This window comes from Homo sapiens, chromosome 5 (genome assembly GCF_000001405.40).
Source record: "Homo sapiens chromosome 5, GRCh38.p14 Primary Assembly".
NCBI lineage: Eukaryota > Metazoa > Chordata > Mammalia > Primates > Hominidae > Homo > Homo sapiens.
This window is the reverse complement of record NC_000005.10, coordinates 100,241,217-100,253,446: the sequence shown is the minus strand read 5'-3', so window position 1 is coordinate 100,253,446 and position 12,230 is coordinate 100,241,217. Positions and strand designations below refer to the sequence as shown.

The 12,230-nt window shown below is 37.8% G+C and overlaps 1 long non-coding RNA gene across 1 annotated transcript; it reads left to right on the top strand.

Annotated features, from left to right (window-relative positions):
• Positions 1–5,109: 5,109 nt before the first annotated feature.
• LOC105379101 (uncharacterized) lies at positions 5,110–6,616 on the top strand. Its single transcript, XR_948627.2, has 2 exons — positions 5,110–5,240; positions 5,688–6,616. It is a non-coding gene; the product is annotated as an uncharacterized LOC105379101 (long non-coding RNA).
• Positions 6,617–12,230: the final 5,614 nt, after the last annotated feature.

The window sequence follows — 12,230 nt, the reverse complement described above, 5'->3', positions numbered from 1 at the left end:
ATCTTTAATGAAAAAGAGGAGGACTTAAAATTAGAAATTCAACAAACTTTGAGGAAAGAGATCTTAGCTCTCAGGGGCATATGTATATTAATAGTTAGAGATTTGTATAATACTTTAAGCAGAAAAGGTTATAAATCTTTTACATAGTTGGTGAACAATTCTGATTCTTTAACCTATAGTCTGTCTCCTTTTAGCTGCTCCTAGACAAGAAAGGCAGGTTAGTGCTTGCTGGTAGGAGAAAGTTTCTAAAATGTCAGGGACAAGTGTGGGGGTGGTGGGTGGGTGGTGGGGATTAATTTCAGGCAAACTGCTGTGTGTGGCACCATCAGGACTTCTGAAGGACACTGCATGACTACCTCAGAGAAGCATCATGATCATAGAGCCAGGCTGAGAGAGATGATTTCAGGACAGAGGAAAGCAAAAGACAAAGTATGAAGTAGAGAGTGGGAGACAGAAGCACAGCTTAATTTTCATAGCTAGGAGAATGTGGCTTCAGAGTTTGTTATTTGTTTACTTTCGGTTGGTATCTTCTGTCTGCTGTAGAGGTCAGAAAGGAACCTACCAAGGAAACCTGTGACTTCTAACTGAGCATTCCAGGCACATGGCTCAGGAAGGCAATGTCCTGAGAAGAAGGAAAGAGAACTCAAAGTACTAGAAAATGTATTCAGCAATAAATTTACATTTTTATTTATACACTGTTCTTTGGTAGTTTTGATTGCCCTGATTCAACACCTGAGAACTTAGTAGAAATGGATATAATTATAAAATTGAAATGCTGGACTATAAAAGCTGAGGGTAAGGTTATAGAACATGACAATTATTTTAATCACAGACCATTCTACAAGTCTTCACTTGGGTGAGTAGGGGAGTAGGGGGAGTCTTTTATTTTCCTTTTAGAATACATTTTAGGCCATTGCTCTTTAACTGCACAGGCATATGAATTGAGAAATTGTAAGAGACAGCAATTATTTGCAGCAGAAGTGCTTTAATCTAACCACATCCTATATCTAGAAAAGAAAATTAATGTAGATATTGGTATTCAAATTGTGTGTAAAGGTGTTTATGTGCATGCAAATACTTAATTTAATGTTACGTTGTGGGTTAATAATAGCCAGTTTCCTTAGTATGGATGTTTTCAACATTTTTTTCCAATGTGAATTAATATAATCACGTTGTAACTATTTACGAACAGCTGCCTCATTACAAAAGTGCTGACATACCATTTACTGTATTGCTGTTGATTAGTGGGTGGAAACCAGCTCACTACATTCCAGAGTATAGAAGGTTTATGCTTCTTAGAAGTATTTTTATACCCCATGGAAACTTGATTTTTTTTAATGAGGGGTAAAACTACTAACATATCATCTTTATCAGACTTTGTAATTTTTCTTCTCAAGCCTTCAAATTTTAAAAGAATACACTTTCAATTTGTTAATAAGAATGAATTTCACATTGAAAAACTGCTGTTAATTTCAACCCCATTTATGGAAATGCATTAATCAGTTTCTATATCCTATATATAAACCAATTCTTATGCATGATTCTGTTCCCGGCACTCTGTTATGGGCTGAAGACATAATGATGAAATATATAGTATTTTCCCTCAATACTTGTAGCAAACACACTTGTAAACAGATTGTTAAAAATAAGTATTAGGATATCCAATGATTGATATATACAAGATGTAGAATTAGTAATGAGAAGAGGGTAATCATTATATTGTGTATTTAGAGAGAAATGAAAGACTTTCTAGAAGAGGTGCCATGTGAACAAAGTTTCAAAGAATGAATAAACGTATGCCAAATAGGGAAGGAAAAACATTTCCACCAGTACATACTGTCCCTGTGTTCCATTCTTACAGCGGCTCTACAGGCATGGATAACTCAAAAATAATTCAATATTGTTGGATTAAGAATCTAGAAGGAAAAAACTGTGGGAGGTGAGACTGAAGTTGTAAGAACTTACCAGCTTATAAAGGGTGTTTTCTGCCTTGCTGAGGAAGTTCGACTTCATCCTATAATGAATGGGAAACCACTAATTGGTGTGAAGCAGAGTAATGATGTCTTTATATTTATGTTGTGGCAAAATCACTTTAATGGCAAATCTAGGGGTGAGTGAGGGAGAGAAAGCTTGGAATCAGGAAGCAATACTCCATGCATATGAAGACAAGGATATATATTTAGACAGAAGCAGTGGGGAAGAAGATAATTTAAAATTGAAAGTTATTTCAGAGCAAAATTATGCAGTAGGCATGAATAAAACTGCCAAGGTCAAATGTACAGTGTATTGTGAAAGAAAAAAGTGCTACAAACAATTTCACAAAAGATCCACATGTAGGCTGTGGAAAAAAAGAAATAACCAGCATAAGAGATTGAAACAAGAGTGAAGCAGGAAGAGAACCTTGAGAAGTATAAGGTGATTGTATTGGTCCATTCTTGAACAGCTATAAAGAACTACCTGAGACTGGATAATTCATAAGAAAAGAGGTTTAATCAGCTCACAATTCTGTGGGTTGTACAGGAAGCATGGCTGGTAAGGTCTTAGGAAACTTACAATCATGGTGGAAGGCAAAAGAGGAGCAAGCATGTCTACGTGGCGGGAGCAGGAGGAAGAGAGAGGAGTGGGAAGTGATACACACTTTTAAGCAAGCAAGTCTCAGGAGAACTCTATCACAAGACAGCACCAGGGGGATGGTGCTAAACCATTAGAAACTGCCCTCATTATCCAATCACCTCCTACCAGGCCCCTTCTCTAACAATGGGGATTACAATTTGACATGAGATTTGGGTGGGGACACAGAGCCAAACCATATCATTCTACTCCTGGCCCCTCCGAAATCTCTTGTCTTTCTCACATTGCAAAATACAATCATCCCTTCTAAATAGTTCTTGAAAGTCTTAACTCATTTCAGCGTTAACTCAAAAGTCCACAGTCAAAAGTCTCACCTGAGACAAGGCAAGTCTTACCTGAGACAAGGCAAGTCTTTTCCACATTTTAGCCTGTAAAATATAAAGCAAGTTAGTTACTTCCAGATACAATGCGGGGACAGGCATTGGGTAAATGCTCCCATTTCAAAGGAAGAACTTGGCCAAAACAAAGGAGCTACAGGCCCCATGCATATCCAAAATCCAGCAGAGCAGTTATTAAATCTTAAAGCTCCACAATAATCTCACTTGACTCCATGTCTTACATCCAGGCCACACTCATGCAAAGGATGAGCTCCCATGGACTTGGGCAGCTCCAACCTTGTGGCTCTGCAGGGTACAGCTCTCATGGCTGCTTTCACAGACTGGCATTGAATGCCTGTGGCTCTTCCAGTGCACAGTGCAAGCTGCTGGTGGATCTACCTTTCTGGGGTCTGGACGGTGGCCTTCTTCTCACAGCTGCACGAGGCCATTCCCCAGGGGCACTCTGTGTGAGGGTTCCAACCCCACATTTCCCCTCCATGCTGCCCTAGTAGAGCTTCTCCATGAGGGCTCTGACCCTGCAGCAGACTTCTGCCTGGAAATCCCAGGTGTTTCCATGCATCCTCTGAAATCTAGGTGCAGTCTCCCAAGCTTCAACTGTTGCCCTCTGTGCATCCACAGACTTAACAATATGTGGAAGCTGCCAAGCCTTGGCTTGGGGTTTGCTCCCTCTGAAGCAACAGCTTAAGCTGTGCGTTGGCCCATTTTAGCTGTGGCTAGAGCTGAAGTGGCCACAATGCAGGCATCAAGTCCCGAGGCTGCACAGAGCAGCAGGGCCCTGGGCATTGCTCATAACATCATCCTTCCCTCCTAGGCCACCAGGTCTGTAATGAGAAGGGCTGCTGTAAAGGTTTCTGAAATGTCTTGGAGGCATTTTTCCCATTGTCTTGGCTATTAACATTGGGCTCCTTTTTACTTATGCAAATTTCTGCAGCCAGGTTGAATTGTTCCACAGAAAATAGGTTTTTCTTTTGTACCACATGGTCAGGCTGCAAAGTTTCCAAACATTTATGCTCTGCTTCCCTTCTAAATGTAAGATTCAGTTTCAGATAATCTCTTTGTGCATGCATATGAGTGTCTGTTGTTAGAAGCTCCCAGACAACATCTCGAATATTTTGGTGCTTAGCATTCAATTTGAAATTCAAAAAATTTGTGGAAATTTATTCCACGAGATATACTAAATCATCTCCCTCAAGTCCAAAAGTTCCACAGATCCCTAGAGAAGGGGCACAATGCTGCCAGTCTCTTTGTTAAAGCATAGCAAGAGTGACCTTACTCCAGTTTCCAAGAAGTTACTCGTCTTCATCTCAGACCACCTCAGCCTGGAGTTGATTGTTTATATCAGTATCAGCATTTTGGTCACAACTGTTTAACAAATATCTAGAAAGTTTTAAACTTTCCCTCATCGGCCTGTCTTCTTCTGAGCCCTCCAAACTGCCCCACCCTCTGCCTGTTACCCAATTCCAAGGTTGCTTCCACATTTTCACGTATCTTTATAGCAATGCCCCGCTTCTCTGGCACCAATTTTTTGTATTAATTTGTTCTTGCACTGCTATAAAGAACTACCTGAGACTGGGTAATTTATAAGAAAAGAGTTTTAATTAGCTTATGGTTCTGTGGGCTGTACAGGAATCATGGCTGGGGAGGTCTTATGAAATTTACAATCATGGTGGAAGGCAAAGGGGAAGCAAGCTTGTCTACATGGCAGGAGAGAGAGGAGTGGGCGGTGCCACACACTTTTAAACAAGCAGGCATCAGGGGAACTCTATCATAAGACAGCACCAGGGGGATGTTGTCAAACCATTTTTGTTTGTTTGTTTTTGTATTTTAAGAAGGATTTAATGAAAAGACAACCAGCAGAGTTATGGGCAGGTTTTTTTTTTAATTATATTTTAAGTTATGGGATACATGTGCAGAAAGTGCAGGTTTGTTACACAGGTATACATGAGCCATGGTGGTTTGCTGCACCCATCAACCTGTCATCTGCATTAAACCATGATCCAATCACCTCCCTCTAGACCCCTCCTCCAACACTGGAGTTTCCAATTCAACATGAGTATGGAAAAATTCAGTTCTATTCTGCTGAGAGGGTTGACAAAGGGGCTTAATTTTCCTTAATGTATTAAAATTTTTCTCACTATAGGATTCCTTAACTTCATTTGTTGCTCCTTTGTCAATGTCCTTATACCATGGAAGTCCTGGTGAATTATCACATACTCCTAATGTGCTGAGAAATACCACTTTCAGGACACTGAGATATAAAACCACTTAAAAGTAAGTACTCATTTTTTCAAATAAGCCAGGAGCTTTTTAAACCAATGATAATAGAACTGGTATTCTTAAGAGTAGTCCCTTATAGCATTGACATGTTTTATTTACCGACAATTTTAGAAGAAGTGCTTCATAAATGTTGGAGACTGCTGTTATCTCAAATGTATATCAAACATGGTTGGAAGGCATTTTTTTACATAAGCGTATATAGTCTCTGTCATTTTTTTTTAAGGATATAAACTGAATGTACATCATTTTGGCACTCATACTTTAAGGTGGCCCTGTAAACCCTGCCTCATGGTGTTGAGGCTTTTGTGGGATCTGTTACTTGATTCTGACCAACGAAACATCAAATGAAAGGGATAGGTAGATAGGTTTGTTGTGATTACAAGTACTTGAATAAATAAGAGTGTAGAGCTGATCTTGGTGCAATCTTCTTCTCAATTCCAGGCGTTGAAGAAGGAAGGATTCATGAATTCTATAACTGTAAGAGAATGAGTTCTGCCAAAAATCTAAGGGAGCTTGAAAGCATATCTTTCCTTAGTTCAGCCTCTGCATGAGAACCCAGCTTTGCCTGACACCTTGATTGCAGCCTTGATAAGACCGTAAGAAAGACCGTAAGAAAACCCAAGCAGATGTGCCTATAGACTCCTCACCCACAACTGCGATATCACAGATGTGTCCAGACTTCTTACCCACAACTGCGATATCACAGATGTGTCGAGACTCCCTACCCACAACTGCAATATCACAGATATGTCGAGACTCCCTACCCACAACTGCAGTATCACTGATGTGTCGAGACTCCCTACCCACACCTGCGATATCACAGATGTGTCGAGACTCCCTACCCACAACTGCGATATCACAGATGTGTCGAGACTCCCTACCCACAACTGCGATATCACAGATGTGTCGAGACTCCCTACCCACAACTGTGATATCACAGATGTGTCCAGTCTCCTTACCCACAACTGCGATATCACAGATGTGTCGAGACTCCTCACCCACAACTGTGATATCACAAATGTGTCTTGGTCTTGCTTTAAGCGACTAAATTTGCGGTATTTTTTTCCATAGCAATAGAAAATCACTATAGTACTATTCACTCATGTGGACAGTGAAGTTGTTTTACTTTGTTTAAAATTAAGAAATAACAGTAAAATCCACATATCTTAAGTATTAATCTCAATGGATTTTTATATATACATTCCCTTGATAAAGAAACAAATAATTTTGTTAAACAGTTTTTAATATTGCTATTGTTTTCTTCCTAAAATTTTCATAATAATTTAACATTAAAGTCCTATGCAACTAGAGTGTTCTTTGTGGGAAAGTTTTGAATTATGTGTTCATTTTAATAAACAAATATAGGACTATTTAATTTTCTACCTCTTGTTTTGTCCATTACAGTACATTGTGTTTTTCAACCATTTTTAAATATAGATTTAAAAATGTATTGGTATAAAGTAATTCATAATATTCTGTCATTAAAAGAATGTCTTGTGATCTGTAGTTATCTCCCTTGTTCTTTTTAGGCATTTATAATTTGTGTTTCCTCCATTTTATTTCTTGCTCTGTATTGCTAAATATTTATTGATTCTAATAGTCTTTATGAAAAACATATTTTTGGCTTTGTGGAATTTTTCTATTATATATGTTTTAAATTTCATTAATTTATTGCCCTATATTATTTCTTTCTTGATGGTATTTTCTATAGCTTTTAGCAATGGAAGCTTAGAAAATTGACCTTCAAATTTTATCTAGCATATGTGCTTAAAGTTAAATTTCCTTCTAATTACTCTGTGGTGTCTATGTTAGGGTGAGTCTTCAGATTTGCTCCTTGAATGTAGCCTTAATTTCTTACTTTTGGGCATGGTTTTGGGGGGTATCGCCTAACCCTGAAATGCTTATCTATGTCTAACCTCTCTGACTACCAATGAAATCAAATGTTTATTCAGAACTGACAAGGCCTCTGAAATCTCTACTCAGTATGTGTCTAAGTAGTTATCCTCTCCTAGTCCTTCTGGAGGACCCACAGACCTGCAGCTTAAGCATTGAACTAAGAGAAATCTTACACAATTTCTTCTTAGCAGCTTCTCCTTAGCATTAGTACCCTGGTCCCAAACCCTAGCAGCTTTGGCAGCCCTAAACTTTGATCTGTGTTTCTTTCACCCAGTATGATTTCCAAACTCTGTGTGGCCTCTGTTTCCTCACACTGTATTTTCAGTATAATTTACTGTGATATCCACTTTTAGTATGAGAATTATATCAGCTACCCCTTTAAGTCAAGTATCACATGCTTGTTTTGGTTGCTGTCCAATGCCCAAAGAGAGTTGTTTTATATTTGTTGTCAGATTTTTATAGTTATTTATGGTAAGAGAGCAGTATGATTCAAGTTACTTTGCCATAACTGTAAATGGAAGTCTTCATATCGTTTTGAATTCGAATAAGGTATACTTGTATTGATTCTTCATTTTTTTTAAGATCCAATTTTTACTGCATAGCAAGCTACCCCACATTTAGTGGATTAAAACGATAATATGTTGTTATTTTTCATGTTTCTATGAGTTAAGTGGACTCAGGTGGATGGTTCTTGCCAGGAATCTCAGGCAGTTGCAGTAACATGTTGGTTTGGACTGCTAGGATCTGAAGGCTCAAATGCATAGGACATCAAAGATGGCTCATTTGCATGGCTGGCAGGTCATGTTAGCTGTTAGCTGGGAGTCCAGCTGGGGCCGTAGACCTAAATGCCATCTCCATGTGGCTTGATATTTTCACCACATGACATCTAGATTTGGAAAGGAAGCATTGCTACTGTGAACAATTTAAGAGGTACAGGCAGAAGCTACATGGCTTTTTTTAAAATGTTTTTGCCTTGGAAGTCCAGAATATCACTTATGCCATATTCTATTCATGAAGCAGGTCAAAAAGGCCAGCAGAGAATGAAGGGGAGGTGAATTCAGCCTATGACATAATGGGAGGACAGTCAAAGATCATGTAGCCATCTTTGGTTCTCTTCCCTCTGGCCATTTATTATTTACATAATTCTCACATGCAAAAGACACTCTTCCCTTTCAAGACCCTGGAAATATTTATCCCTTTAAAATGTTACACTGAGAAATGAGGTCCAGGATCTTGTTATTTAAATAAGGTATAGATAGATATAAGGGAGGTTCCTTAGGTACAGTTGCTTGAGCAAGTGAAGCTGAAGACTTACGACCTAAAAATAAATGTTCTCTAAAATTCAACATACATGGCAAAAAGAGATAGAATACTCACAGCACTTACTCCTAACCATAAAGGGAGGAAAAGAAGGGAAAGTATGGAACTGTCCCTGGTCCAGAGCAATTTTAAATCCAGATAGGCATATCAGCTCCTTGATTAAATCGTAGTTCTACTGTCTGAAAATTATTTCTTGTGATTTAATTTTTTTCCTTTTAAGTTGACAGGTAATAATTATATGTATTTAAGGGATACAGAGAGATATTTTCATAGATGTATACAATGTGTAATGATCAAATCAGAGAAAAAATAGCATATTCATCACCTCAAACATGTATCATTTTTTTGTGTTGTGAACACTCAAAATCCTCTCTTCTAGCTTTTTCAAAATACACAATCACCTATGGTTAACCACTGTAGGGTGCTGTAGAACCAGAACTCATCCCTCCTATCTAGCTGTAATTTCATGCCCGTTAACCAACCTGTTCCCATACTCCCCTTCTCCCACCTTTTCCAGCCTCTAGTAACCACAGTTCTACTCTCTACTTCCAACAGCTTAAACTTTTTCTTAGCTCTTATATATGAATAAGAACATGTGATATTTATCTTTATGTGCTTGACGTATTTTGCTTAACATAACGTTCTCCACGCTCATCCATGTTGCTGCAAATTACAGGATGTCATTCTTTTTGATGACTGAGTAGTATTTTCTTTATTCATTTGCTGATGGATATTTAGGTGGATACCATATTTTAGGTATTGTGAATAGTGCTGCAATAAACATGGGAAAGGAGTACCCTATCGACATGTTAATGCCATATCCTTTGAATTAATACCCAGTAGTGGGATTGCTGGATCATATGGTAGTTCTATGTGTAGTTTTTGGGAAACCACCATACTGTTTACCAAAATGGCTATACTAGTTTACATTCCCAACAACAGTATACGAGTTCCCTTTTCTCTGTACCTTGGCCAGCATTTGAAATTTTTTGTCTTTTTCATAATAGCCATTCTAGATGGAGTGACATGATATGTCATTATGGTTTTGATTTGCATCTCCCTGATGATTATTGATGTTGAGCATTTTTTCATATATTGTAGGCCATTTGTATGCCTTCTTTTGAGAAATATCTGTTCAGGACCTTTGCCCACTTTTTAATTGAATAATTTGTGGGTTATTCATCTTTTTCTATTAAAAAGGGAAGGTCAAGGCTTGCAACTGAGAAACTTCTTAGCCTATTGTCTGACTACCGAAGGTCGCAGCCTTCAGGCATTTTAAAATTTTGTACCACTTTGTCTCTTTAAATCTGCACTGTTATTATTTCATTAAAACGATTGTGAGCTTCAGTGTATCAACTATATTTGACAAAAGCCATACCCACATTTCCTTGTTAAACAGTGTGCTAAGAAACAGTGTCACTCAGAATTCTGAAAATATTTTGTTTGAGGAAAGTTTATATGGGGCATACATTTGAGATTCTTAGAAACCCTTTTTTTTCTGACTAAGCAGGTTTCACATCATTGACATTCTTTGAAAACTATTAATTATGCTGTTAAATCTTAATAAGGGCATACAAAGGATCTTATAATTACACCATTGTGATGTATACCCTGGAGCTCTAATTTCCTGGTATCACCTGACCCTATATTTGCTCTGAGGCCATTTTTTTTTCCTTTAGGTCTTTTGCAGGAAAAGAGTGTGGAGAAGAAGCTGTTTTATTTTTAAACCTAGCAATTTCTGTCTCGTTTCCATTTCCTCCAAATGGTGCCCAAAACTAAGTAATTATCTCTTTAGTATTTTTCTGCCTTTTCGCAAGCCAATTGGCACTTTTAATATCTGCCTGGAGATCTCTATAACCAGATCATGGAGATCATTATGTACTCATTCTGTGTTCCTTATTATATAAATCAACAGTTTTACTAACTCTTCTGTCATTATATAACTTGGGTGACTTTTTTTCTAGTCACAGATAATCTTTTCCTTACTAGCAATTTCCTCAAGCAATAATCTTCAAGTCCTTACTAGCAATTTCCTCAAGGCCCTTCTAGCTTCTGCCCCTCATGTGGTCTCAAAGCCAATATCATATATTTTAAATTTTTGTCATGATAACATCACATTTCCAGGTCACCCATTTTGACCTGGTTACCTATACCCATGTAACAAAACACATCAAAGTCTCATGATTCTGTGGGTTGATTAGGCTCTGTGGAGTAATTTTTATTTGGAATTTCTCATACAGTTGAAGTCAGTTGTTGGCTGCACCTGGAGTTACTAAAAGGCTTGGCTGACCTAAATGAGTGTTCAAGATGACTTGTTGCATGACTGTTGGTTAAGGCTGGCTGTTGTCTTGGAGTTCAGCGAGGGCTGTCTAACAAAGTGCCTGTACTTGGTTTATTCTCATGGGTTGAGTTTCTTACAGCATAGTTTCTAGTCTCTGGTAGGAATCATTCCCAAAGATTCAGGTAGAAGTTGCAAGGATTTTTATGACATAGCCTCGGAAATGTCTTCTGACATATTCTATTAGCAAAGCAATTCACAAAAGACAGTCTATGTCCAAAGAGAGAGAAATTAAACTCCTCTCTCCTTGACATGTATGTCAAAGAATCTGTGGCCATCTTTACTGTGCTAATTCAGTGAAAGACCAGACTTTCAGAAGTTCATGTGACTGTTTTAAAAACTCTTTTATACAAATTCTTATTTATATCTAAAATTCATATGTAATTTATACCAAAATCATGTTTGTGTCACCAAGTAGTCAGTTCGCAATAAGCTTTAAAGAACAATTCTAACCAGGAATGGAGAATGACAAATAATATATTTAGAATATTTCCCTTATACACAATAAGTAAATAAGTAAAATACTTCAAGTCAGGATTGAAATCACTGTTGAGTCAAATTATTTGATAAAATTATCCAGGACTTATTAAAATAACTCTTCCTCTTACTGTTGCCTAACTTAGCAATTTTCATTTTAATTTCAAATACTAAATACACATCACCTTCCTTGTTTCCATGTTCAGAAGGCTGTTCACACTCTATGAATCCTATATTAATAACACATCATTTAATGTTCCAGGTATAAAACTGAATTTATTGCAAAAAAGGAGATTAAAAATGCCTTAAACTTTAGACTATATACCAATTCAATGCTTTTAATTGAATTAATGAAAAAAGTTTGTTAAAATGCAGAAAAAAAATACATAAGCATGTTGCTAACCCACATAACAGAAAAAAATTGGTGGAACCCATAATGGAGTGAACCATATATATCAGGTCATTCTTCTGCTGCTATAAAGAACTGCCCGAGACTAGACAATTTATAAAGAAAAGAATTTAATTGACTCATGGTCAAGGGCTGTACAAGAAGAATGGCTGCGGAGGCCTCAGGAAACTTACAATCATGGTGTAAGAAAAAGGGAAGCAGGCACATCTTACGTGGCCAGAGAAGGGGAAAGAGAGTGAAGGGGCAGGGAGGTGCTACACATTTTCAAACAACCAGGTCTCATGAGAAATCGCTCACTATCATGAGAAAAGCAAGGGAAAAATCTGACCCCACCTCCCACCAGGCCCCTCCTCCAACATTGAGGATTATAATTTTACATGAGATTTGAGTGGGGACACAGAGCCAAACTGTATCTTCTGCCCCAGCCCCTCCCAAATATTGTGTCATTCTCACATTGCAAAAACAAATCATCCCTTCTCAATAGTCTCCCAAGCTTTGCTACTTAGAAATTTCTTCCACCATATACCCTAAATAATCACTCTCA